At 39.1% G+C, this 23,385-nt stretch overlaps 1 long non-coding RNA gene across 1 annotated transcript in view; it reads right to left on the bottom strand.

Moving 5' to 3' along the window:
• The window catches only part of LOC102724843 (uncharacterized), a 38,372-nt gene extending 16,438 nt beyond the window's left edge, over positions 1-21,934 (bottom strand). Inside the window, exon 1 of the long non-coding RNA NR_170986.1 lies at positions 21,733-21,934. This is a non-coding gene — a long non-coding RNA (uncharacterized LOC102724843). The remainder of the gene's footprint in view (positions 1-21,732) is intronic.
• Positions 21,935-23,385: the final 1,451 nt, after the last annotated feature.

Genomic DNA, 23,385 nt, shown 5'->3' with positions numbered 1-23,385 from the left:
AATGTCTTTGCCGTATTTTAAATCAAATTCTAAAAGCTCTCTTTAGAGTGGATAAGTGAGCATCTTTGTAATATAAACTTCACATATTTGTTGCCAGTTTGTTCTTTTTGTTTTTGTTAAAATGTTTTGTTTTATTCTGATTTGGATGTCTTTTGGCGTTTTGCTTTGTGGCTATTTATTATGACAGTGTAACTTCTCCTCTAATTGACTGACGGTTTGTACATTCTCAATAAAATATTTTCATAAAATCTTTGTAAAAATTGTGTAGTCAATTTTACATTACATAAACATAAAACAGTAAAGACTATCACGATGAAAAAGGAAGATTGAGGGCTTAAAAAGTAAAATACGACACAGCTAAAGTAGTCTGAAAGGGAAATTTACAGCACTAAATCCCCACAAGAGAAAGCAGAAAAATGTCTAAAATCGACACCGTAACATCACAATTAAAAAAACTAGGGAAGCAAGAGCAAACAAATTCAAAAACTAGCAGAAGACAAGATTTAAGATCAGAGCAGAACTGAAGGAGATAGAGACACAAAAAGCCCGTCCAAAAAATCAATGAATCCAGGAGCTGGTTTTTTTAAAAGATCAAGAAAATAAATAAACTTCTAGCCAGACTAATAAGGAAGAAAAGAATCAAATACATGCAATAGGAAATGATAAAGGGGATATAACCGTTGATCCCACAGAAATAAAAAGTATCATTACAGAATATTATAAATACCTCTTTGCAAATTAACTAGAAAATCTAGATGAAATGGATAAATTCCTGGACACATATACCCTCCCAAGTGCAAACCAGTAGGAAGTCGAATCCTTGAATAGGCCAATAACAAGTTCTAAAATTGAGGCAGTAATTAGTAGCCTACCAACAAAAAGAAGTCCAGGACCAGACGGATTCACAGCCGAATTCTACCAAAGGTACAAAGAGGAGCTGGTACCATTCCTTCTGAAATTATTTCAAACAATAGAAAAAGAGGTACTCCTCCCTAATTCATTTTATGTGGCCAGCATCATCCTGAAACCAAAACCTGGCAAAGACACACCAGAAAAAGAAAATTTCAGGCCCATATCCCTGATGAATATCGATGCGAAAATCCTCAATAAAATACTGGCAAACCGAATCCAGCAGCACATCAAAAAGCTTATCCACCACGATCTAGTCAGCTTAATCCCTGGGATACAAAGCTGGTTCAACATATGCAAATCAATAAATAAAATCCATCACATAAACAGAACTAATGACAAAAACCACATGATTATCTCAATAGATGCAAAAAAGGCCTTCAATAAAATTCCACACCTCTTCATGGTAAAAACTCTCAATGAATTATGTATTGATGGAACCTATCTCAACATAATAAGAGTTATTTATGACAAATGCACAGCTAATATCATACTGAATGGGCAAAAACTGGAAGCATTCCCTTTGAAAACCTGCACAAGACAAGAACACCCTTTCTCCCCACTCCTATTCATTATAGTATTGGAAGTTCTGGCAATCAGCAAAAGAAAGAAAGAAATAAAGCGTATTCAGATAGGAAGAGAAGAAGTCAAATTGTCTTTGTTTGCAGATGACATGATTGTATATCTAGAAAACCCTACCATCTCAGCCCAAAATTTCCTTAAACTGATAAGCAACTTCAGCAAAGTCTCAGGATACAAAATCAATGTTCAAAAATCACAAGCATTCCTATACGCAATAATAGGCAAACAGAGAGCCAAATCATGTGTTAACTCTCATTCACAATTGCTACAAAGGGAATAAAATACCTAGGAATCCAACTTAAAAATGATGTAAAGGACCACTTCAAGGAGAACTACAAACCACTGCTCAAGGAAATGAAAGAGGACACAAACAAACGAAAACAATCCATGCTCATGGATAGGAAGAATCAATATTATGAAAATGGCCATATTGCCCAAAGTAATTTATAAATTCATTGCTATCCCCATCAAGCTCCCATTGACTTTCTTCACAGAATTAGAAAAAAAACTACTTCAAATTTCATATGGAATCAAAAAAGGTCTTGCATAGACAAGACAATACTAAGCAAAAAGAACAAAGGTGGAGGCATCATGCTAGCTGTCTTCAAACTATACTAAAAGGCCACAGTAACCAAGACAGGATGGTACTCGTACCAAAACAGATATATTGACAAATGGAACAGAACAGAGGCCTCAGAAATAACACTCAACATCTAGAATCATCTGATCTTTGATGAACCTGACAAAAACAAGTAATGGGGAAAGGATTCCCTATTTAATAAATGGTGTTGGAAAACTAGCTAGCCATATGCAAAAAACTGAAACTGGACTTCTTCCTTACTCGTTATACAAAACATAACTGAAGATGGATTAAAGACTTAAACATAAGACTTAAAACCATAAAAACCCCAGAAGAAAACCAAGGCAGTACCATTCAGGACATAGGCATGGGCAAAGACTTCATGACTACAACACCAAAAACAATGGCAACAAAAGCCAAAATTGACAAACGAGATATAATTAAACTAAAGAGCTTCTGCACAACAAAAAAAACTATATCAGAGTGAACAGGCAACCTAAAGAATGGGAGAAAATTTCTGCAATCTATCCGTCTGACAATGGGCTGATATGTAGAATCTACAAAGAACTTAAACAAATTTACAAGAAAAAAAGAAACAACAACATCGAAAATGGGCAAAGGATTTGAACAGACACTTCTCAAAAGGAGACATTTATGCAGCCAATAAACAAATGAAGAAAAGGACATCATCACTGGTTATTAGACACATGCAAATCAAAAACACAATGAGAAACCATCCCACACCTGTTAGAATGGTGATCATTAAAAAAATCAGGAAACAACAAAGGATGTGGAAAAATAGGAAGACTTATACACTGTTGGTGAGAGTGTAAATTAGTTCAACCAGTGTGGAAGACAGTGTGGTGATTCCTCAAGGATCCACAATGAGAAATACCATTTGACCCAGCAATCACATTACTGGGTATATACCCAAAGGATTATAAATTATTCTATTATAAAGATACATGCATACGTATGTTTATTATGGCACTGTTCACAAGAGCAAAAACTTTGAAACAAACCAAATGACCATCAATGATAGACTGAATAAAGAAAACTTGGCATGTCCACATCATGGAATACGATGCAGTCATAAAAAGGATGAGTTCATGTCCTTTGCAGGGACATGGATGAAGCTGGAAACCACCATTCTCAGCAAACTAACACAAGAGTAGAAAAGCTAACATCGCATGTTCTCACTCATAATAGGGAGTTAAACAAAGAGAACACACGGACACAGGAAGGGGAACATCACACACTGGAGCCTGTCGGGAAGTGGGGGACTATGGGAGGGATAGCATTAGAAGAAATATTCCTGGCCTAGGCCACTATTGCGATTTTCTAAATTTTGTTTCAAAAACATGATATGTTTCAAAAATTGTTATTGGTATGTAATTATATAAATATATAGTTCAGAAAAAAGAATCAACATTAATTATGCTTTTTCCAAAATACTTTATGGTTTTGAGCTCTTCTAGCAGTGACATTTTTGCTGTAGGTAATTGCTGTGTATCTGGTATATTCATCATAGCATACTTTGTGCCGTTTACACTTATCCTTCAATTTCCCACTCTCCTAAGTGTAAAAGTTCAAGGCCAGAGCTCCCATATCTTCCCAATATTACTTTTTGAAAAGAAGCTTCTATGTACTGTTTTCTCTGGGTCTTGATTGGATATATTGCTAAAAGAGCTGAAAAATAATAATTTTTTTAAAAATTCGGTGATGAGATTAAAGTAAATATATTTTATAAATCTAATGTACAAAATGAGGTCAGCTGAGAAGACAATGACAGTTGAAGCAGAACCTGAGATCCTGTTTCTCTCCATTGACATATGAACTTAACTACAATTGGGCGAACAAAGCCAGTTGAGTTTGTAGCACCCCACATGAGAAAAAAGCCAACCATAACCACATTTAGAAGAAAATTTGGTCACATTTGTGCACTACAGAACAGCGCAGTTAGATAAAAATCTGTCCATTCCATGATTCTCCTTTGGGAAAGAAAAAAGAGTGAAATGCGTATGCAAACTTCTGACTTACTGAGTTATACCGGGGTTATCTAAAGACTGGAAATTGCTTCCTTTAACATTTAGTGTTGATGAGAATAGAGACTGAGTTTAAATGACAGCTTGGGTCAACTGAGAATAAAGATAAATGCTTCTTACAACAACAGAGACTGTAGTGCCTACAACAGTGACGAAGGGAAGAGACTAAAGGCTCCTAAGAGGAAACAGAGGTAAACCTTATTAACAAGAAAATACATACAGTAGTCCAAAGAAGACACATTTTGACAACAGATTGGAGAAGCTCCCAGTATGACTACTGTGGCTGAATGTTGTCAATTTTCCCATGTATAAAGCTCTTTCATAAAGGATAAAATAGGTAGTGGTTTCTTAATTGATCAAAACCTTAACAAAACTACAGTAAGTAAAAGCAACCAGGAAATATAACCTAATCAAAGGAGAAAAATATATATTCAAGTGAACCTAAAGAAGTGGAGATCTAGGAATTATTTTTTTAACTTAAAATCTTTTTATTTTTCTTTACTTTTTCATTTTATGCAGAGGATCTTACTTTATCTCCTGGGACAGAGTACACTGGTGGAATCACAGCTCACTGTAACCTCAAATTTCGGAAGTCAAGCAGTCATGCCACCTATGTCTCCTGAGTAAATATGACCACAGTTGTGCACATTACCCCTCCTGTATAGTTTCTTTAAAAAAATTTGTACAAACAGTATGTTGCTGTGTTGCCTCGGCTGGTCTCAAACTCCTGGTCTCAGGCAATCCGACTGCTTCAGTCTGAAAGTGCTGGCACAAGCTACCATACCTGGAATTGTTTCTCTTTTAAGAAAAAATAGCTTTAAATCATTAATAGTAAAATAAAACAAAGAAAGGTATTGCGTAACGATAAAGGGTTCAATTCAACAAGAAGACTTAACTATCGTAAATGTAGATGCACCCAACTTTGGGGAACATAGAGTTATACAACAATTACTGCTAGAACTACAATAAGCCTCAAGTAGACACACAATAATAGTAGGGGAATGCAACTCCCCACTAAGTGTTTGACAGATTATCTAGGCAGAAACTTAACAAAGAAATTCTGGAGTTTGATTCGACACTTGATCAATTGAAACTAATAGACATTTATAGTATATGCAACACATCATCTAAAGAAAGTAAATTCTTCTCATCTGCTCACAGAATATGACAGGCCACAATGGAACAAAGATAAAAATCAATACCAAGAAAATCTCACAAAATCACAGAATGATATTGAAATTAAACAACTTGCTCCTGAATGAATTTTGGATAAACAAAAAAATTAAGGCAGAAAATTAAAAAGATTTTGAAATAGAAGAGACACAATATAACAAAATGTCTGGGTTGTAGGAAGAGCTCTGTTAAGAGGAAAGTTGAGAGTGCTAAATACCTGCATCAAGAAGTTAGAATGATCTCAAACTAACAATTTAACATCACACTTAGAGAAACTAGAAAAATAAAAACTAACTTACCCCAAAGCTAGCAGAATGGCAAAAATATTCATAACCTATGAACCTGACAAAATCTAATACTCAGAATCTATAAGAAACTTAAAGAATTCACAAGGAAAAAATTACCCCATGAAAAAGTGGGCAATAACAGACACTCTTCAAAAGAACACATACAAGTGGCCAAATAACATGAAAAAAGCTTATCATCACTAACCATCAAGGAAATGTAAATAAAAACCACAATAAGACACCATTGTACACCAGTTAGAATGGTTTTTGTTAAAAAGTAAAATGATAATAGATGTTGATGGGGTTTTAGAGGGAAAAAACCACTTATACACTGTTAATAGGAATGTAAATTAGTTCAGCCACTGTGGAGAACAGCTTGGAGATTTTCCAAATAACTGAGAGTTAAACTGTGATTCAACCCAGCAATTTCACCGCTGGGTATATACCCAAAAGAGAATAAACTATTCTACCAAAATAGCACATGCACTTGTTGGTTCATCACTACACTATTCATAAGAGGAAGGACCTGAATCAACCTACGTGCCTATTCATGGTAATTTTTTATTTTTTTGAGATGACGTCTCACTCTGTTGCCCAGGCTGGAGTGCAGTGGCACGATCTCAGCTCACTACAATCTCCACCTCCCAGGTTCAAGCAATTCTCCTTCCTCAGCCACCCGAGTAGCTGGGACTATAGGCGCATGCCACCAAGCCTGGCTAACTTTTGTATTTCCAGTACATACGGGGTTTCATTACGTTGTCCAGGATGGTCTCGATCTCCTGACCTCATGATCCACCCGCCTTGGCCTCCCACAGCACTGGGATTACAGGCATCAGCCACCATGTCCAGCCTATTGATGGTAAATTGAATTTAAAAAGTGTCACATGTACAGCAATACTACTTAGCAAAAACAAACAAAAAAAACCTCCTTTGCAGCAACGTTAACACAACTAAAGGCCATTATACAAAGCAAATTAATGCAGAAATGGAAAATGAAAATACTGCATATTCTCACTTATAAATGGAAATTAACACTGGGTACACATGGACAGAAAAACAAAAATAATAGACAACTCTTAGAGGGTGGAGAGAGGGAGGGACCAAGAACTGAAAAACTGTCTACTTAGTACTATGCTCACTACCTGATTGATGGAATTACTCATACTTCAAACCTCAGCATTATACAAAATACCCATGTAAAAAACCTGTGTAGGTACCTCCTAAATCTAAAATAAATTTGAAATTCTAAAAAGAGGTCTTACTCTCTCACCCAGACAGGAATACAATACGATGATTATAGCTCAATGCAGCCTCAAGTTCCTGGGGAACTCAAGGAATAATCTTACGTCAGCCTCCAACTTCCTGAGACTACAGGAACATTCCACAATGCCTGAGTAATCTGTGAAAATATTTTTTACCAATAGCTTGTCACAATATTGCCCGGGGTAGTGTCGAACTCCTGGATTTAAGTAATTGACAGGGTTTGGCTCTGTGTCCCCAATCAAATCTCATCTTAAATTGTAATAATCCCCACATGTCCTGGGAGGGACCCTGTGGGAGGTAATATTTTTATCAAAATATCAATGACATTTTTTCACAGAAATAGAAAAAATATTTTAAATTTATGTGGATCCACAAAAAACTCTGAATAGACAAATAACTTTGAGCAAAATAAGCAAAGCTAAAGGCATCACTTTATCAAACTTCAAAACTTGCTACAAAGCTATAGTAACCAAAAGAGCACTGTACTGGCATAAAAACAAACACATAGACTAATGTGCCCAAGAAGCCCAGAAGTTAGTTTATGCACCTAAAGCCAACTGATTGTCAACAAAATTGCCAAGAACACACTTTAGGGAAAAGCTAATTTCTTCAATAAATGATGCAGGGCCATTTAAATATTTAAATTCAGAAAAATTATACTAGACCCCTGTGCCTTGCCATATATGAAAATCAATTCAAACTAAAGACTTAAATGTAATGCTATCAATTATGAAACTATTAGAGAAAAACTAAAAAATGCTTTATAACATTCGACGGGGAAAGGATTATTAAAATAACATGTCAAAACATAGGCAACAAAATCAAAAATAAGCAAACAACATTATGTCAAACTAAAATGCTTTTCCATATTAAAAAAACTAAAAGATTGAAGAGACAGCTTAGGCAATAAAAGAAAATGCTTTCAGGCTATACATATGACAAAAGGCTAATATTCAGAATAAATAAGAAACTTTAAAATCTCAAAATAAAATACACTTATAATCTAATTAAAAAAATGCAAAAGATCTTAATAGATGTTTGTCAAAAAGTGATACAAAAATGGCTAACTGGAACATAAAAATATGTTCTACATTACTAATCACTAAGGAAATGAAAATCCAAACCACAATGAGGTACCGCCTCACTCCCATTTAGAATGGCTATAATAAAAATAAATAAATAAATAAAACAAGTACTAATGAGGATATAAAATGAGTGAATGTATACATTGTTGGTGGAATTGTAAATTAGTATGGCCACTATAGAAAATACTATGGAGGTTTCTGAAAGAAATTAAAAATAGATGTATTACATGATCCAGCAATTTTACTCCTGCATGTATATACAAAAGAAAGGATATCACTGTGTCAAAAAGATATTTGCATTTCCATGTTAGTTACAGAACTAGTTATAATAGCTTATATATGGAATCAATTCAAATGTACAGCAACAGATAAATGGATAAGGAAAATGTACTATATATGCACAGTGAAATACTATTCAGCTATAAGAAAGGATAAAATTCTGTCAGTTAAAAGAGCATGGATGAACCTTGAGCATACCATGTTAAGTAAAATAAGCCACATAGAGAAACACAAATACTTTATGATCTTATTATCTCACTCATTTGAGGAACCTGAAAAAAAGGGTTGATATAAGCAAAGAGTACAACAGGGGTTCCCAGAGACTGAAGCAGGGAGATGGGAAAAGGCAGCTTCAAAAGTATTGTGTTACAATTAGATAGGAGAAATAAGTTTTTGTTTTTTGTTACACAGCAGAATAATAATAATTAATGAAAAGTTATCTCAAATTACAAAATAGCTAAAAGAGACCAGTTGTGGTGGCACATTCCTGCCATCCATACATTTTGGGAGAATGAGGTAGGAGAATCACTTGATGTCAGAAGTTCAAGATGAGCCTGGACAACATAGTGTGACCCTGTCTCTATGAAAAATTAAAACATTATCCAGGCATGGAGGCAGGTTCCTGTAGTCTCAGCTAATTGGGAAGCTGAGGTTAGAAGATTGTTTGAGGTTACAGTGAGCTAGGATTGCACCACTGCACTCCAATCTGTGTGTTAGAGCAAGATCCTGTCTCTAAAAAAAGTTAATATATAAAGATATAAAAAAATAGCTAGAGAAGAAGCTTTTGAATGTTCTCACCACAAAAATAACAAATGTATGAGGCAATAATTACACTAAGTACTCTGATTTTTATTGCTATACAACATATATACATAATTGTTTCCCCAAAATTTGTACAATTACATGTGTCAATTTTAAAATATGAAGACTATAATGTAAAATCTATAGCTGTAAAATTCCTAGCACAATACAGAAGGGTGAAGCTTCATGACAATTGGTCTCGGCAATAATTTGGGGGATGTAACATCAACGAATCAGACAACAAAAGCAAGGGAATACACATGGTACTAAATCAGTGTGTGAAAAATATCCCAAACAGGCAAAGCAGAACATGGAATAGATATATGCACATTTATGTACACTGTAGCATTACTCACAAACATACTACCTGGAAGCAAATGTACCTTTAAGGATGAGTAGATTCAACAAACAGGGCACGTATATTCACTGGATAGCATTCAGCCTTAAAAATAAGGAAATCTTGAAAAGTACTACAATAAGGACAAATCTCGAAAACATTCTGTTAAGTAAAACAAGACAGTCAAAAAGGAAAACTGTATAATTACACCTATGTAAAATATTTAGTCAAACTCAAAGAAACCAAGTGTTGTAGTCTCAGCAGTGCACCAAGATGTAACAGTCTCTCATAGTCTGAGATAGCATCGAAAGTTCTTTGTTCTACTTCTAGGGAGATTAAGGAGCGTGAACACAAAGGTGAGGTTAGAGTGAAAGTTTGATAAGCAAGAGAAGAAAGCTCTTTGCCAGCAGAGATAGTTTCTGAATGGGGTGACCTCTGTGAGGCTGGGGCCCAAGGTTTTTATGGACTGGGAAAGGAAGAGAAGGAAATGTGCCTAGTTAACAGGCTGTCTTGAAAAAAGTGTGGCTCAGCTTGGCCCAGGACTTTGACCCGGGACCAATCAGGAGCTGAAGGGATGATTCATAGATGCTATTTAGATTGGCCCAGGACTTATCAGAAGCTAAAGTGAAAGCTTGGCGCAGGAGCTTGTCCCGGGAGCAATCAGGGGCTGAAGTAATTATTCACAGAGGTCTGACTTACAGTCCAAATAAAGGAGAGTGTCGACCGGAATGCACCAGAGCCCACTGTGCTTATGCCCACAAAAGGAGAAGAAACATTTTCCTGGGAGCCCACTGACTGCACAAAGTACAAAGGCGTTTCTTTTTTTCTTTTTCTTTTCTTTCTTTCTTTCATTTTTGTTTTTGAGATGTACTTTCTTATTATTTATTAATTTATTTATTTTGAGACGTAGTTTTGCTCTTGTTGCCCAGGCTGGAGTGCAATGGTGCGATCTCGGCCCACAGCAAACTCCGCCACCTGGGTTTAAGTGATTCTCCTGCCTCAGCCTCCCAAGTAGCTGGGATTACAGGCATGAGGCACCATGCCCGGCTAATTTTGTATTTTTCTCCATGTTGGTCATGCTGGTCTCGAACTCCCGACCTCAGGTGATCCGCCCACTTCTGCCTCCCAAATTGCTGGAATTACGGGCATGAGCCACTGTGCCTGGACAAACAAAGGCATTTCTATGCCAGGTCGGTCTTGTTCCCTTATCTCAGTGAGCTGGAGGTTTGTACAAGTTTTTATCCAAATATGCCAGAGGTTTTTCTGTCTGTGCAGCCATGGGCAGGTCTCCAAGCACAACACCATGTGCTAGTTACCTTGTTAGTGTCTGCAGCTTGATTTTTTCCAGGATTCCTTTTATATTATGCAGGGATGAGACACTGACCCAAGGGCCAGGGACTTTCCAGGGACCCTTCTCTTGCTATCTAACTAAAGCAAGCTAACTAACTTGTTTCAGAATTAATGAGTATTCACTTTTACTTTTGTAAGACAAAAATTATCTAAAACCTATTGCAAAAAAAAATAGAACTATACTTACCACTTCTAAACCATATACTTAAAATGTTAGAAATGAAAATGGCATGTTTTTAACTACAATTAGAAATTTAGGACTACCTAAAAGGCACGGTTACAAAATCTTCAAACATCCCCTTCAAATAACAAAGGGTTCTTCTCACTTAATTATTTAGATTTAAACTATAAGTTGATTGTAAATTTAAGATTATTTCCCTGACTACTCACCAAGATAGAATAAAATAATCACTAGAAACCAAGAAAAGAGGGAAATTTATAGCACTAATGTCCACATCAAAAAGCTAGAAAGGGCCGGTCATGGTGGCTCATGCCTGTAATTCCAGCACTTTGGGAGGCTGGGGTAGGCAGATCACTTGAGACCAGGTGTTCAGGACCAGCCTGGCCAACAGCAAAACCATATCTCTACAAAAAAATACAAAAATTAGCTAGGTGTGGTGATTCACATCTGTAATCCCAGCTACTCAGGAGGCTGAGACAGCAGAAGTGACTTAAAACCGAGAAGTGGAGGTTGCAGTGAGCCGAGATTATGCCACTGTACTCCAGCCTGGGTGACAGAGTGAAACTCTCCCACAAGAAAAAAAAAAATTAGAAAGATCTAAAGTTAACAGCCTAACATCTTGGTTAAAAGAACAAGAAAACCAAGTGAAAACAAACCTGAAAGCTAGCAGAAGATAAGAAATAGCCAAGATCAGAGTAGAGCTGAAGGAGATAGAGACACTGAGAACTCTTCCAAAAAAAAAAAAAAAAAACTCAACCAATCCAGGAGCTGTTTTTATGAAAAAAAAAAAAATTTATAAACTAGATGGAACACTAGTTAGGCAAATAAATAAGAAAAGAAAGAACCAAACACAAATAGAAATAATAAGGGAGATATCATCACTGATCCCATGGAAATAAGAACAACGATCAGAGAATACTATAAACACCTCTATGCTCATAAACCAGAAAATCTAGAAGAAATGGACAATTTCCTTGCAAAATAAACTCTCTACAAGACTGAACCCTGAATAGATCAATAATGTGTTCTGAAATTGAGACAGTAAGAACTAGCCTACCAAGCAAGCTGAATTTGACTTGAGGTAAAGAGGAGATAGTACATTTTCTCCTAAAACTATCCAAAAAAAATTGAAGACAAAGAAGTTCTGTCTAACTCATTCTATCAGGCCAGCATCATCCTGATACCAAAACCTAACATAGATACAACAACAACAACAACAACACATCATGCCAATGTCTTTGATGAACACTGTGCAAACATCCTCAATAAAATACTGGCAAACCAAACCCAGCAGCACATTAAAAAGTGCATCCACCACAATGGAATTGGCTTTGTCTCCAGGATGCAAGGTTGATTCAACATATGCAAATCAACAAATGTGACTCATCACATAAAGAAAACTAAATAAAAAAACCACATGATTACCTCAATAGATGCAGAAAAAGCACCCAATAAAATTCAACATTCCTTCACGTTTAAAATTCTCAATAAATTAGGAACTGAAGAAACATACCTCAAAATAAGAAGAGCCATATACAACAAACCCACAGCCAATATCATACTGAATATGCAAAAGCTGGAAACATTCCCCCTGAAAACCGGCACAAGAAAAGTATGCTCTCTCTCACCACTCGCATTACAACTCCCATTCGGAAAACTTGTCCAGGAAAATCAGGCCAGAGGAAGAAATAAACAGTATTCAAATAGAAAGAGAGAAAGTCAAATTATCTTTGTTTACAGATGACCTGACCCTATATCTAGAAAGCCTCTTCGTCTCAGCCCCAAAGCTTCTTAAGGTGATAAGCAGCAGTAGCAAAATCTCAGGATATAAAATCAATCTGCAAAAGTAGCTAGCATTCCCATACACAAGCAACAGGCAAGCAGGGAGACAAATCATGAATGAACTTTCATTCACATTTGCTATAAAGAGAAAAAAATACCAAGGAATACAGCTAAGAAGGAAAGTGAAGGATATCTTCAAGGAGAACTACAAACAACTACTCAGAGGAATCAGAGTGGACACAAAACAAATGGAGAAACATTCCATGCTCACGGAGAGAAAGAATCAGTACCACGAATATGAGCATATTGCCCTAAGTAATTTATAGATTCAATGCTGTTCCCATTGAACTACTGACATTCTTCAGATAATTAGAAAAAAAAAACTTTTTAAAATTAAAATGGAACCAAAAAAGAGCCCAAATAGCCAAGCCAACCTTAAGAAAAAAAAAAAAAAAAGCTGAAAGGGTCATTGCCTAACTTCAAACTGTACTAGAAGAGTACAGTAACAAAAACAGCATGGTACTGGTATAGAAACAGACACATAGACAAATGAAACAAAATAGAGAGCATAGAAATAAAGCCAAAAACCTACAACAAACTGATCTTTGACAAAGTCAACAAAAACAAGGAATTAGGGAAAAGTCTCCCTATTCAATAAATAGTGCTAGGATAACTGGCTAGTCATGTGCAGAGAATTAAGACTGGAACCCTTCCTAACACCATAGACAAAAATTGACTCAAGATGGATTAAAGACTTGAATGTAAAACCCAAAACTATAAAAACCTTAGAAGAAAAAATCTAGAAAATACCATTCAGGATATAGTCATGAGGAAAGATTTGATGACAAAAAGACCAAAAGAAATAGCAACAAAAGCAAAAATTGACTAATGGGGTCTAATTAAACTAAAGAGATTCCACAGAGCCAAAGAAGCTATCATCAGAGCAGAGAAGCTAGAGAATGGGAGAAAAATTTTGCAACCTATTCATCTGACAAATATCTAATACCCAGAATCTATGAGGGACTTAAAATTTACAAGAGAAAAACAAACAACCCCATTAAAAAGTGGTCAAAGGACATGAACAGACATATCTCAAAAGAAGACATACATGTGCCCAACAAACATGGAAAGCTCAACATCACTGATAACTGGATAAATACACATCAAAACAACAATGAGATACCATCTCACACCAATTACAATGTCTATTAATAAAAAGTAAAAAAGAAATAAAAACAGATGCTGGTGAGGTTGTGGAGAAAAGGGAACACTTTTACACTGTTGGTGGGATTGTAAATTATTTCAAGCATTGTGGAAGAGAGTGTGGAGATTCCTCAAAGACCTAGAAGCAGAAATACCATTTGACCCAGCAATACTATTACTGGGCATACACCCAAAGGAATATAAATCTATTTTAAATAAACATGTATACATATGTTCATTGCAGCAATATTTACAATAGCAACGTCATGTAATCAATCTACATGCCCATCAATGATATACTGGATAAAGAAAATGTGGTACACATACACCATGGAACACTATGAAGCCATAAAATGTAATGAGATGATGTCCTTTGCAGGGACATGGTTGGAATTTGAAGCCATTACTCCCAGCAAACTAATGCAGGAACAGAAAACCAAACACCACCTATTATTATTCTAACTTATTAGCAGAAGCAGATCAATGAGAACACATGGACACATCAGGAAGAACAACACACACTGGACACCTGTTTCATGGCATGGGGGAGGGGAAGGAGAGCAGCAGGAAGAATAGCTGCGGATGCTGGGCTTAGTACCTGGGTGATGAGATGATCTGTGCAGTAAAGCACAATGGCACACGTTTATCTATGTAAGAGACCTGCATATCCTGCACATGGACCCCTAAACTTAAAATAAAAGTTGAAAAAAAAGCTTATCACATATGGACCACTGAACTTAAAATAAAACTTGAAAAAACATGAGTATGAGGTGGATTCCCTAGGTTAGACCCAAACTGAAGATCCTGAAGCTCCTGCTGGGGGATTTGGGGCTGGGGGCACCCTGGGGAGCTGCTGCCAAGGCCATCCACCGTCCCTACAGGCCGCCTCTCTTCCCGGCCTGTGATGGAAAGGAGAAGGGGTATGTGAACAGCTGTGGAAGTCAGACTCTCGGGAACTGAATCAGGCCCCAGCCCATGCCCCCCAGCCCAGTCCAGCCAACGTGCCCGCTGTCTTCCCACCCAGCCAGCCGAGCCCTCAGGATTGTTAGATGGAACCAGGCTCCATCACCACCCAGGCATGGAGGGAAGATGCCCTGGTCCTTAGCAAGCAAGGCCTGGTTTCCAAAGTGCTCTCCGAAGAGGCCTCATGTTTGTGACATCTTAGAAGGTACCTTTCTGCTGTTCTTGCACCCAGCATGTTGGCAAGTCAAGTTCCCCCACTGAGTTCTCCACACATAAGGAGGGAGTCAACACCATTGCTAAGTCGGATCAGCTCAAGTGTCTCCAGTATCAGTTTTATCAGATCCCAGGGACCTGCCTGCTCCCAGAGGTGACAGAGAAAAATCAAGGAACGATCTGTATGGTCACTGACATGGATGAAACCCTTGTGCATAGCTCCATTAAGCCAATCAGCAATGCTGACTGCCTAGTGACTGTAAAGATTGAGGGGACCATGAGGCCTTATATGGATGAGTTCCTGAGATGACTGGAGGAACTGTTTAAATGTGTTTTCTTCATTGCTCTCTTCATTCCAGACTGAACAAGTATGCAGATCCTGTTGAGAGGTGACAGCGTGCTGGCAGTCCTCACAACCCTTGCTCACTCTCCGGGCCTCCTCTGCCTGGGCTCCAACTTTGGCGGCACTTTAGGAGCCCTTCAGCCTGTCGCTGCACTGTGGGAGCCCCTTTCTGGGCTGGCCAAGGTCGGAGCCGGCTCCCTCAGCTTGCGACGAGGTGTGGAGGGAGAGGTGCGTGTGGGAACCAGGGCGGCGTGCAGTGCTTGAAGGCCAGCGCGAGCTCGGCGGACCCCACACTCGGAGCCGCCGGCTGGCCCCACCGGCCCCAGGCAGTGAGGGGCTTAACACCTCGGCCAGCAGCTGCTGTGCTCAATTTGTCGCTGGGCCTTAGCTGCCATCCCACAGGGCAGGGCTTGGGTCCTGCAGCCCGCCATGCCTGAGCCTCCCCCCCATCGGTGGGCTCCTGTGTGCCCAAGCCTCCTGGATGAGTGTCGCCCCCTGCTCCACGGCACCCAGTCCCATCAACCACCCAAGGGCTGAGAAGTGCGGGTGCACAGTGCCAGACTGGCAGGCAGCTACACCTGCAGACCCTGTGGGGGATCCACTGGGTGAAGCCAGCTGGGCTCCTGAGTCTGGTAGGGACGTGGAGAAACTTTGTGTCTAGCTCAGGGATTGTAAATACACCAATCGGCACTCTGTATCTAGCTCAAGGTTTGTAAACATGCCAATCAGCACCCTGTGTCTAGCTCAGGGTTTGTGAATGCACCAATCAACACTCTGTATCTAGCTACACTGGTGGGGATGTGGAGAACCTTTGTGTCTAGCTCAGGGATTGTAAACACACCAATCAGCGCCCTGTGAAAAAAGACCACTCGGCTCTAACAATCAGCAAGATGTGGGTGGGGCCAGATAAGGGAATAAAAGTAGGCTGCCCCAGCCAGCAGTGGCAACCCACTCGGGTCCCCTTCCACACTGTGGAAGCTTTGTTCTTTTGCTCTTTGCAATAAATATTGCTGCTGCTCACTCTTTGGGTCCACAATGCCTTTATGAGCTGTAACACTCACTGTGAAGGTCCACAACTTCACTCCTGAAGCCAGCGAGACCACGAACCCACCTGGAGGAATGAACAACTCCAGATGTGCCACCTTAAGAGCTGTAACACTCACCGCGAACGTCTGCAGCTTCACTCCTGAGCCAGCGAGACCACGAGCCCACCAGAGGGAAGAAACTCTCAACACATCCGAATGTCAGAAGGAACAAACTCCAGACATGCCACCTTTAAGAACTGTAACACTCACCGTGAGGGTCTGTGGCTTCATTCTTGAAGTCAGTGAGAACAAGAACCCACCAATTCCAGACACATTGTGATGGGTGTGCTGGACCAGTGTGAGGTGTTCTGGGGTTGCCTAGCCCATGAGTCACGTTTGTTCCACCAGGGCTGCTATGTCAATGACCTCAGCCATCTGGGGAGGGACCTGAGGAAAACTCTCATCCTGGACAACTCGCCTGCTTCTTACGTCTTCCACACAGAGAATGCAGTGCCTGTGCAGTCCTGGTTTGATAACATTCCAGACAGCAGCTGCTGCACCTGATATCAGTCTTTGAGGACATGAGTGGAGCAGAGGGCATCTATACTAGCCTTGGGCAGCAGTGGGCCCTTAGCCTTTCCTGCTTCCCAGCAATGGCCATCACAGTAGGGGATTTTCCCACACTGTGCCTTTATGATCAGCCTGAAAGAATGAAGCCTGGAACACCTACCCACATGGGCCTGGAAACAGTGAGAAGTGATTGAAAAGAGCTTTAGGACAGCTTAGATTCCCAGTGGGTGAATGCCAGACCAAGGATACCCAGAGCTACCTGCCATCAAGTTTTTGGGTTCCCAAGATTGGGTGTGAGAGAAAGAAAGAGAGCATGTGTGTTTTGTGATGAACTGTGGGCCCAATATATAGTGTTTCAGTAGGGGAGAAGCTGAAGGACAGAGACTCTTCCCAAGTTAGCTTTGTCTCCTCTCCTGTCACCCTATGAGACCCTGAGTTCCATAGGGATGAAGACTGTTGAAGGCTCCATTGCAAACCTGGTCTTTCTTCAGTGCTGCAAGGCCTATGCCAAGGAGAAAGGAAAAGTATGTCTTTGGGTGTTCCAGACACACATCTTTCTGAAATATTTCTCCAGCCAGTTGTTGCAGACAAAAGATGATATTTCTGGGAAGATGGGGACTTATGTCCAGACCAGTACCCAAACCATCAGGTCTTGTGGCCTAAAGGCTATGCTTACTTAAGTCCAGCCAAGTGCCTGGGATGGATCCTTTCTGCATCTCCTCAAGACTCACCACTTAGGCATAGCCTCAAACCTGTGGGGAAGGAAGTTGTCTCCCCACCCTGCAAGAGGACAAATAACTGATTTCTCTTCTTTCGACTCTGTTTTAAAATTCTCTTAAAAAAAAAAAAAGCCTATCTGAAACTGAAAAGAAAAAAACAAAAAAACAAGGAAAAAGATGTCATACTTACATAAGTGAAAAACATACAGATATATCTATAAGCAACAAACACAGCTAATTCACACATATATTAAACATCACATTGAGATAAAGTGTACCGAGCTAAAAATTATCTTTCAACTGATGATATCAAGCTTTAAAATAAAAATACATTTAACTGATCTGAGAAAACATAACTCCCAAGAAAAGAAACACAATAACACGGACTTGAAAATAAGAAGAGAGATTTTCGTGCATAAAATCCTGAATACAACATAGATTTACAATGGAAAATAACCGTTTTTTTTTTTATTTTTTTTTTTGAGACAGAGTCTTGCCCTGTTGCCCAGGCTGGAGTGCAGTGGCGCGATCTCGGCTCACTGCAAACTCTGTCCACTGAGTTCACGCCATTCTCCTGCCTCAGCCTCCTGAGTAGCTGGGGATACAGGCGCCTGCCACTATGCCCGGCTAATTTTTTGTATATTTAGTAGAGACGGGGTTTCACCATGTTAGTCAGGGTTGTCTCGATCTCCTGACCTCGTGATCCACCCGCCTTGGCCTCCCAAGGTGCTGGGAATACAGGCATGAGCCACCACAACCGGCCGAAAAATAATTCTTTAGATATCTACAGCATTCAACTGTGTGCACTCATGAAAAGCAGACAATTTAAGTCATTAGAATTTAATAAATTGCAGTAAAATTATACAGAAAATACATTACAATCATTAATAACAGGCTCTAATGAGAGGAATTTAATAAATAATCATTAAAAATACAGGATAATTTTATTATGTTCTCAATATGTTGCTGCACTTCTTACCACAAAACATAATAAAATTATATGACTATAATATAGATTTCAAGAGCTAAAAAAGCCTTATATTTCCAAATAAAAGAACAACATAAATTTTGCAAAATATGACGAGCATTACTGCAGTATAAAGTAAATATCTGGAATTAAAATATACCATCATTTAGATACAGACTAAAAAAAAGAATATAAATGTTAATGATTCCTTTCTGCCTGCAGTGAGCTTAAAATTACAACCAAAAATTTTAATAAATATGTAGCACCTACAAGACATTTTATTAATAGCTTACATAATGTGGAAATTTGAGCAATTTATTTTAGAATTTTTGAATCTAAAAATCACCAGCTTGACATTCATTTGAGAAAGTGAAACATAAAGGAGAGTAACATAAGCAAGACGACAGAATGGGAGGTTCGGCATGCACATCCCCCACAACATAATGCAGCTGCCACGGGAAACATAAGTGCATTCATGAAAGCCTTAGAATCCAGTTCAGAGTTTGTGACACCCAGCTGGAGGCAAAGACCAAGGAAGACATCTTTAGAGGGTAAGCACTTGACCAAGTGGCAAGCTTGCCAATCATGGTCCTCGGTTCAAAACAGAATACTACCACATCTTACTGTAAACTTGGCTATGACTCATTTGAACTTGGTCCTGCCACTGCAAAAATCTGTGAAAAACACAAAAGAATTCATACTCATCTGAGACTTAGGTGACAGGCCTGCAGAACTTGGTTCTCTCTATAGTCCCTGAATCAGGCAAAACACACCTTCTTTCCTTCTCCAGCCAAGGTCTGGAAGAAATCTTCACATTGATATGATGAAATGCTAACTAACAATATGAAAAATACTAAAGTATAAATGTCACTAAAAATGGTAAATACATACTGAAATTCAGAATACTCTAAATTGTTATCATCTTAAACTAGACTATTAAAATACAAGAGGTTTTACATAAGTCTCATGATAACCACTGGGGGAAAAAAAAACATAGTAAAGAAAAAGAGAAAGTAATTAAAGCATACACAAACAACAAAAATTACACATTGGATACAGTGGCTCCTGCTTATAATTCCAACACTTTTGGAGGCCAAGGTGGAAGAATCATAAGCTCCTTGGGTGTTGTGGTACATGTCCAAGTAGTCCAAGCTACTTGGGTGGCTAAGGGGGGAGGATTGCTTGAGCCCAGGAGATTGAGGCTACAGTGAGCTGTGATATGCCACTGAACTTCAGTCTGAGCAAGAAAGCATAACTTTGTCTCAACAAAAATGAACAATACCACAGGAAAGACAGAACCAGAAAAAAAAGAAGCAAACTTAAAATGGACAGAAAACTACAAATGTACAATAGTAACTGCTTACCTATCACTACCTTACAAATAAAAAGATTAAATTATCTACTAAACAGATACTTCTGTAGACTGAATGTCATCTCCAAAATTTAGGATAAAATGGCCAATGTGAAAGAATTAAGAGGTGGAACCTTTAAAAATTAATTAAGCTATAAGCACTCTGCCCTCATGAATGGATTAATGTTCTTATTATGGGAATGGGCTAATTTTAACAAGAATGGATCTGTTATATATTAAAAAAAAAAAAGCTGTCTCTCCCTCACATCTTTGGCCATGTTATTATCCAGCAACTAGACCTTCAACAGATACCAGTAACATGTTCTTTTACCTTCCCAGCCTCCAGAATCATGAGTCAAATAAAATTCTGTTCTTTATTAATTACCAGTCTGTGATATTCTGTTATAACAGCCAAAAGAGACTAAAGCAGACAGAGTGGATAAATGAAACTTTTAAACCTCGTAATATGCTGCTTACAAGAGACTCAATTATGAATTAAGAGCATAGGCTAAAAGTGAAAGGATAGAAAATGATATTCCATGCAAATAATAGCCAAAGGAGTTCAATGGTAGTTATGCTTAAATTAGACAAAATAGACTTTCTAGCAATGTCTCTCACAAGCATGAAATGAGTTTACCATACAATAATAATAGAGGTTAATTTGTCAAGTGAATATAGCTATATATATTTATGCACCCAAAAGGGAGGCTTCTAAATATAAAAAGCAAATATGGGCAGAACTGTAGGGAGAAGTAGAAAGAAATCCAATAATAGAAAACTTTAATGAAATGTATAATAAAGGACAAATAGTTAACAGCATTGTGAATTTGCAAGGGAAAGCTGTTCTCCTGTGTTGCATTTGAGAATGCAGCAAAGAAAGTGGGAACTGATAATTTTACCACAAGCCTGAGTTAGGCTGAAAAACAGGGTGGTCGATTAGAGGTTCCACTTGCCATATATTAAAAAAACACAGGAGAAAACCAGTCCTCCTCTGGAGTGTTAAAATAATTAAAGAGCAGAAAATTAGACTAAAGTGGCTCTAGTGTCCTGGGTTCATAGGTTAAAAAAAAAAAAACAAAAACTAAAACCTAACTCAAATACATTTCCTATAAAGCATTATCTTAGCCTGAAACAAAATGCACGTTTAACCAATGGCAAACATGCAATTAACCTCTGAATATGTAACCAGGACATTTCCATCTGGATAGTTCAAATAAGGTGACTACATAACTGGAACCAATTTTTGAATTTGGGCTGCTTTCTCATGCATCTTATGAAAGCCTTTCCTTTATGCCCCTCTGGTGGACCAGAAATCATGGCTGGGTGCTTTCCATTTCACCAATCACTGTTTGTTCAGATAAACTGGTTAACGTTTTAACATAGACTCCCGTTAATTTTTAACAAGAGAGACTGGGGACCCCACGGGCCGCAGCTCCTCCCACGCAAACACCCAGTGGCAGTTTTTCCCTGATGACCCACCAGGCCTCCCTGAACAATCTGGGAAATACTCATGGCTGTGGGCGCAGAGCAGGGCGCTGCCCAGGGACAGCACCGGATGGGCCAGGCCGGATGTGGGGGTCCTCGATGCTGGCCCAGCGGCCATCTTGCAGCCACAGGGGACTGAGGGCCAAGCTGCGGGAGACTCGGAGCTAACCGTGGGGGCCGGTCCTGCCGGTTTCACAGCCTGCTGTCCCCTCTCGGGATGCCGAACCCCGTATACTCACCATTTCCCAGCTTCCAGGATGTCCTGTCATCTTAACTGTGCGTCCCCAAGGACCTACAGATCACAGGGCAACAGGGGCTGTGAAAGAGTAGCCCGGGGCTCCCAAAGCGGAGGAGGCGAAAGAGGAGACGGATCCCAAGTTCCTGTGCCAGCGCCAGCAAGAGACAAAGACCCGCCAAACGCCAGAAGCCACGCCCTCCTCTCCTGTCCTCTCCAACTGCGCGCCTGATTGGGCTGTTCCCACATCAGTGTCAATGACTGGATAAAACTCCAGGACTCACCCACCCCCGCCTGACTCCTGCCCCTACCCCCACTCCCCCTCAGCCTTAGTGCATTTTTGTTAGTTTGTTTTACTTTAAGTTCTGGAATACATGTGCAGAACGTGCAGGTTTGTTACATAGGTTTACATGTGCCATGGTGGTTTGCTGCTTCTATCAACCTGACGTCTAGGATTTAAGCCCCATATGCATTAGGTATTTGTCCTAATTTTCTCCCTCCCCTTGACCTCAACACCCTAACAGGCCCCAGTGTGTGATGTTTTGTTCCCGGTGTCCATGTGTTCTCATTGTTCAACTCCCACATATGAGTGAGAACATATGGTGTTCTGTTTCCTGTTCCCGTGTTAGTTTGCTGAAGAGAATGGTTTCCAGTGTCATTCACGTCCCTGCAAAGGACATGAACTCATTCTTTTTATGGCTGAATATTATTTCATGGTGTATATGTGCCACATTTTCTTTTTCCAGTCTATCAATGATGGGCATTAGGTTGGTTCCAAGTCTTTGTTATTGTAAACAGTGCTGCAATAGATATATGAGTGCATGTGTCTTTATGCTAGAATGATTTATATTCCTTTGGGTATATAACCAGTAATGAGATTGCTGGGTCAAATGGTATTTCTGGTTCTAGATACTTAGGGAATCACCACACTGTCTTCCATAATGGTTGAAGTAATTTACACTCCCGCCCCCAGCAGTGTAAAAGCGTTTCTATTTCTCCATAGCCTCATCAGCATCTGTTGTTCCTGACATTTTAATAACTGCCATTCCAAATGGTGTGAGATGGTATCCCATTGTGGTTTTGATTTGCATTTCTCTAATCATCAGTGATGATGAGCTTTTTTCTTTTTCCTTTTTGTGTGTTTGTTGACCACATAAATGTCTTCTTCTTCTTCTTCTTCTTCTTCTTCTTCTTCTTCTTCTTCTTCTTCTTCTTCTTCTTCTTCTTCTTCCTCTTCTTCTTCTCCTTCTTCCTTTTCTTTTTATTTATTTTATTTATTATTATTTTAAAGACGGAGTCTAGCTCTGTCACCCAGGCTGGAGTGCAGTGGCAGGATCTCAGCTCACTGCAACATCTGCCACCCAGGTTCAAGTGATTCTCCTGCCTTATCCTCCCAAGAAGCTGGAATCACAGCCACCCGCCAAAACACCATGCTAATTTTTTGTGTTTTTAGTAGAGACATGGTTTCACCATGTTGCCCAGGCTAGTCTTGAACACCTGACCTCATGATCCACCTGCCTCCATGGCTGAAAGTGCTGGGATTACAGGCTTGATCAACCACGCCCAGCCAAATGTCTTCTTTTGAGAATAGTCTGTTCATATTCTTTACTCACTTTTTGATGTTTTTTTTTTGTGTGTGTGTGAAATTAAGTTCCTT

Source organism: Homo sapiens, chromosome 21 (assembly GCF_000001405.40).
Source record: "Homo sapiens chromosome 21, GRCh38.p14 Primary Assembly".
Taxonomy (NCBI): domain Eukaryota; kingdom Metazoa; phylum Chordata; class Mammalia; order Primates; family Hominidae; genus Homo; species Homo sapiens.
Note: the sequence above shows the minus strand (reverse complement) of the source record. Positions and strands in the feature narration are given on the sequence as shown.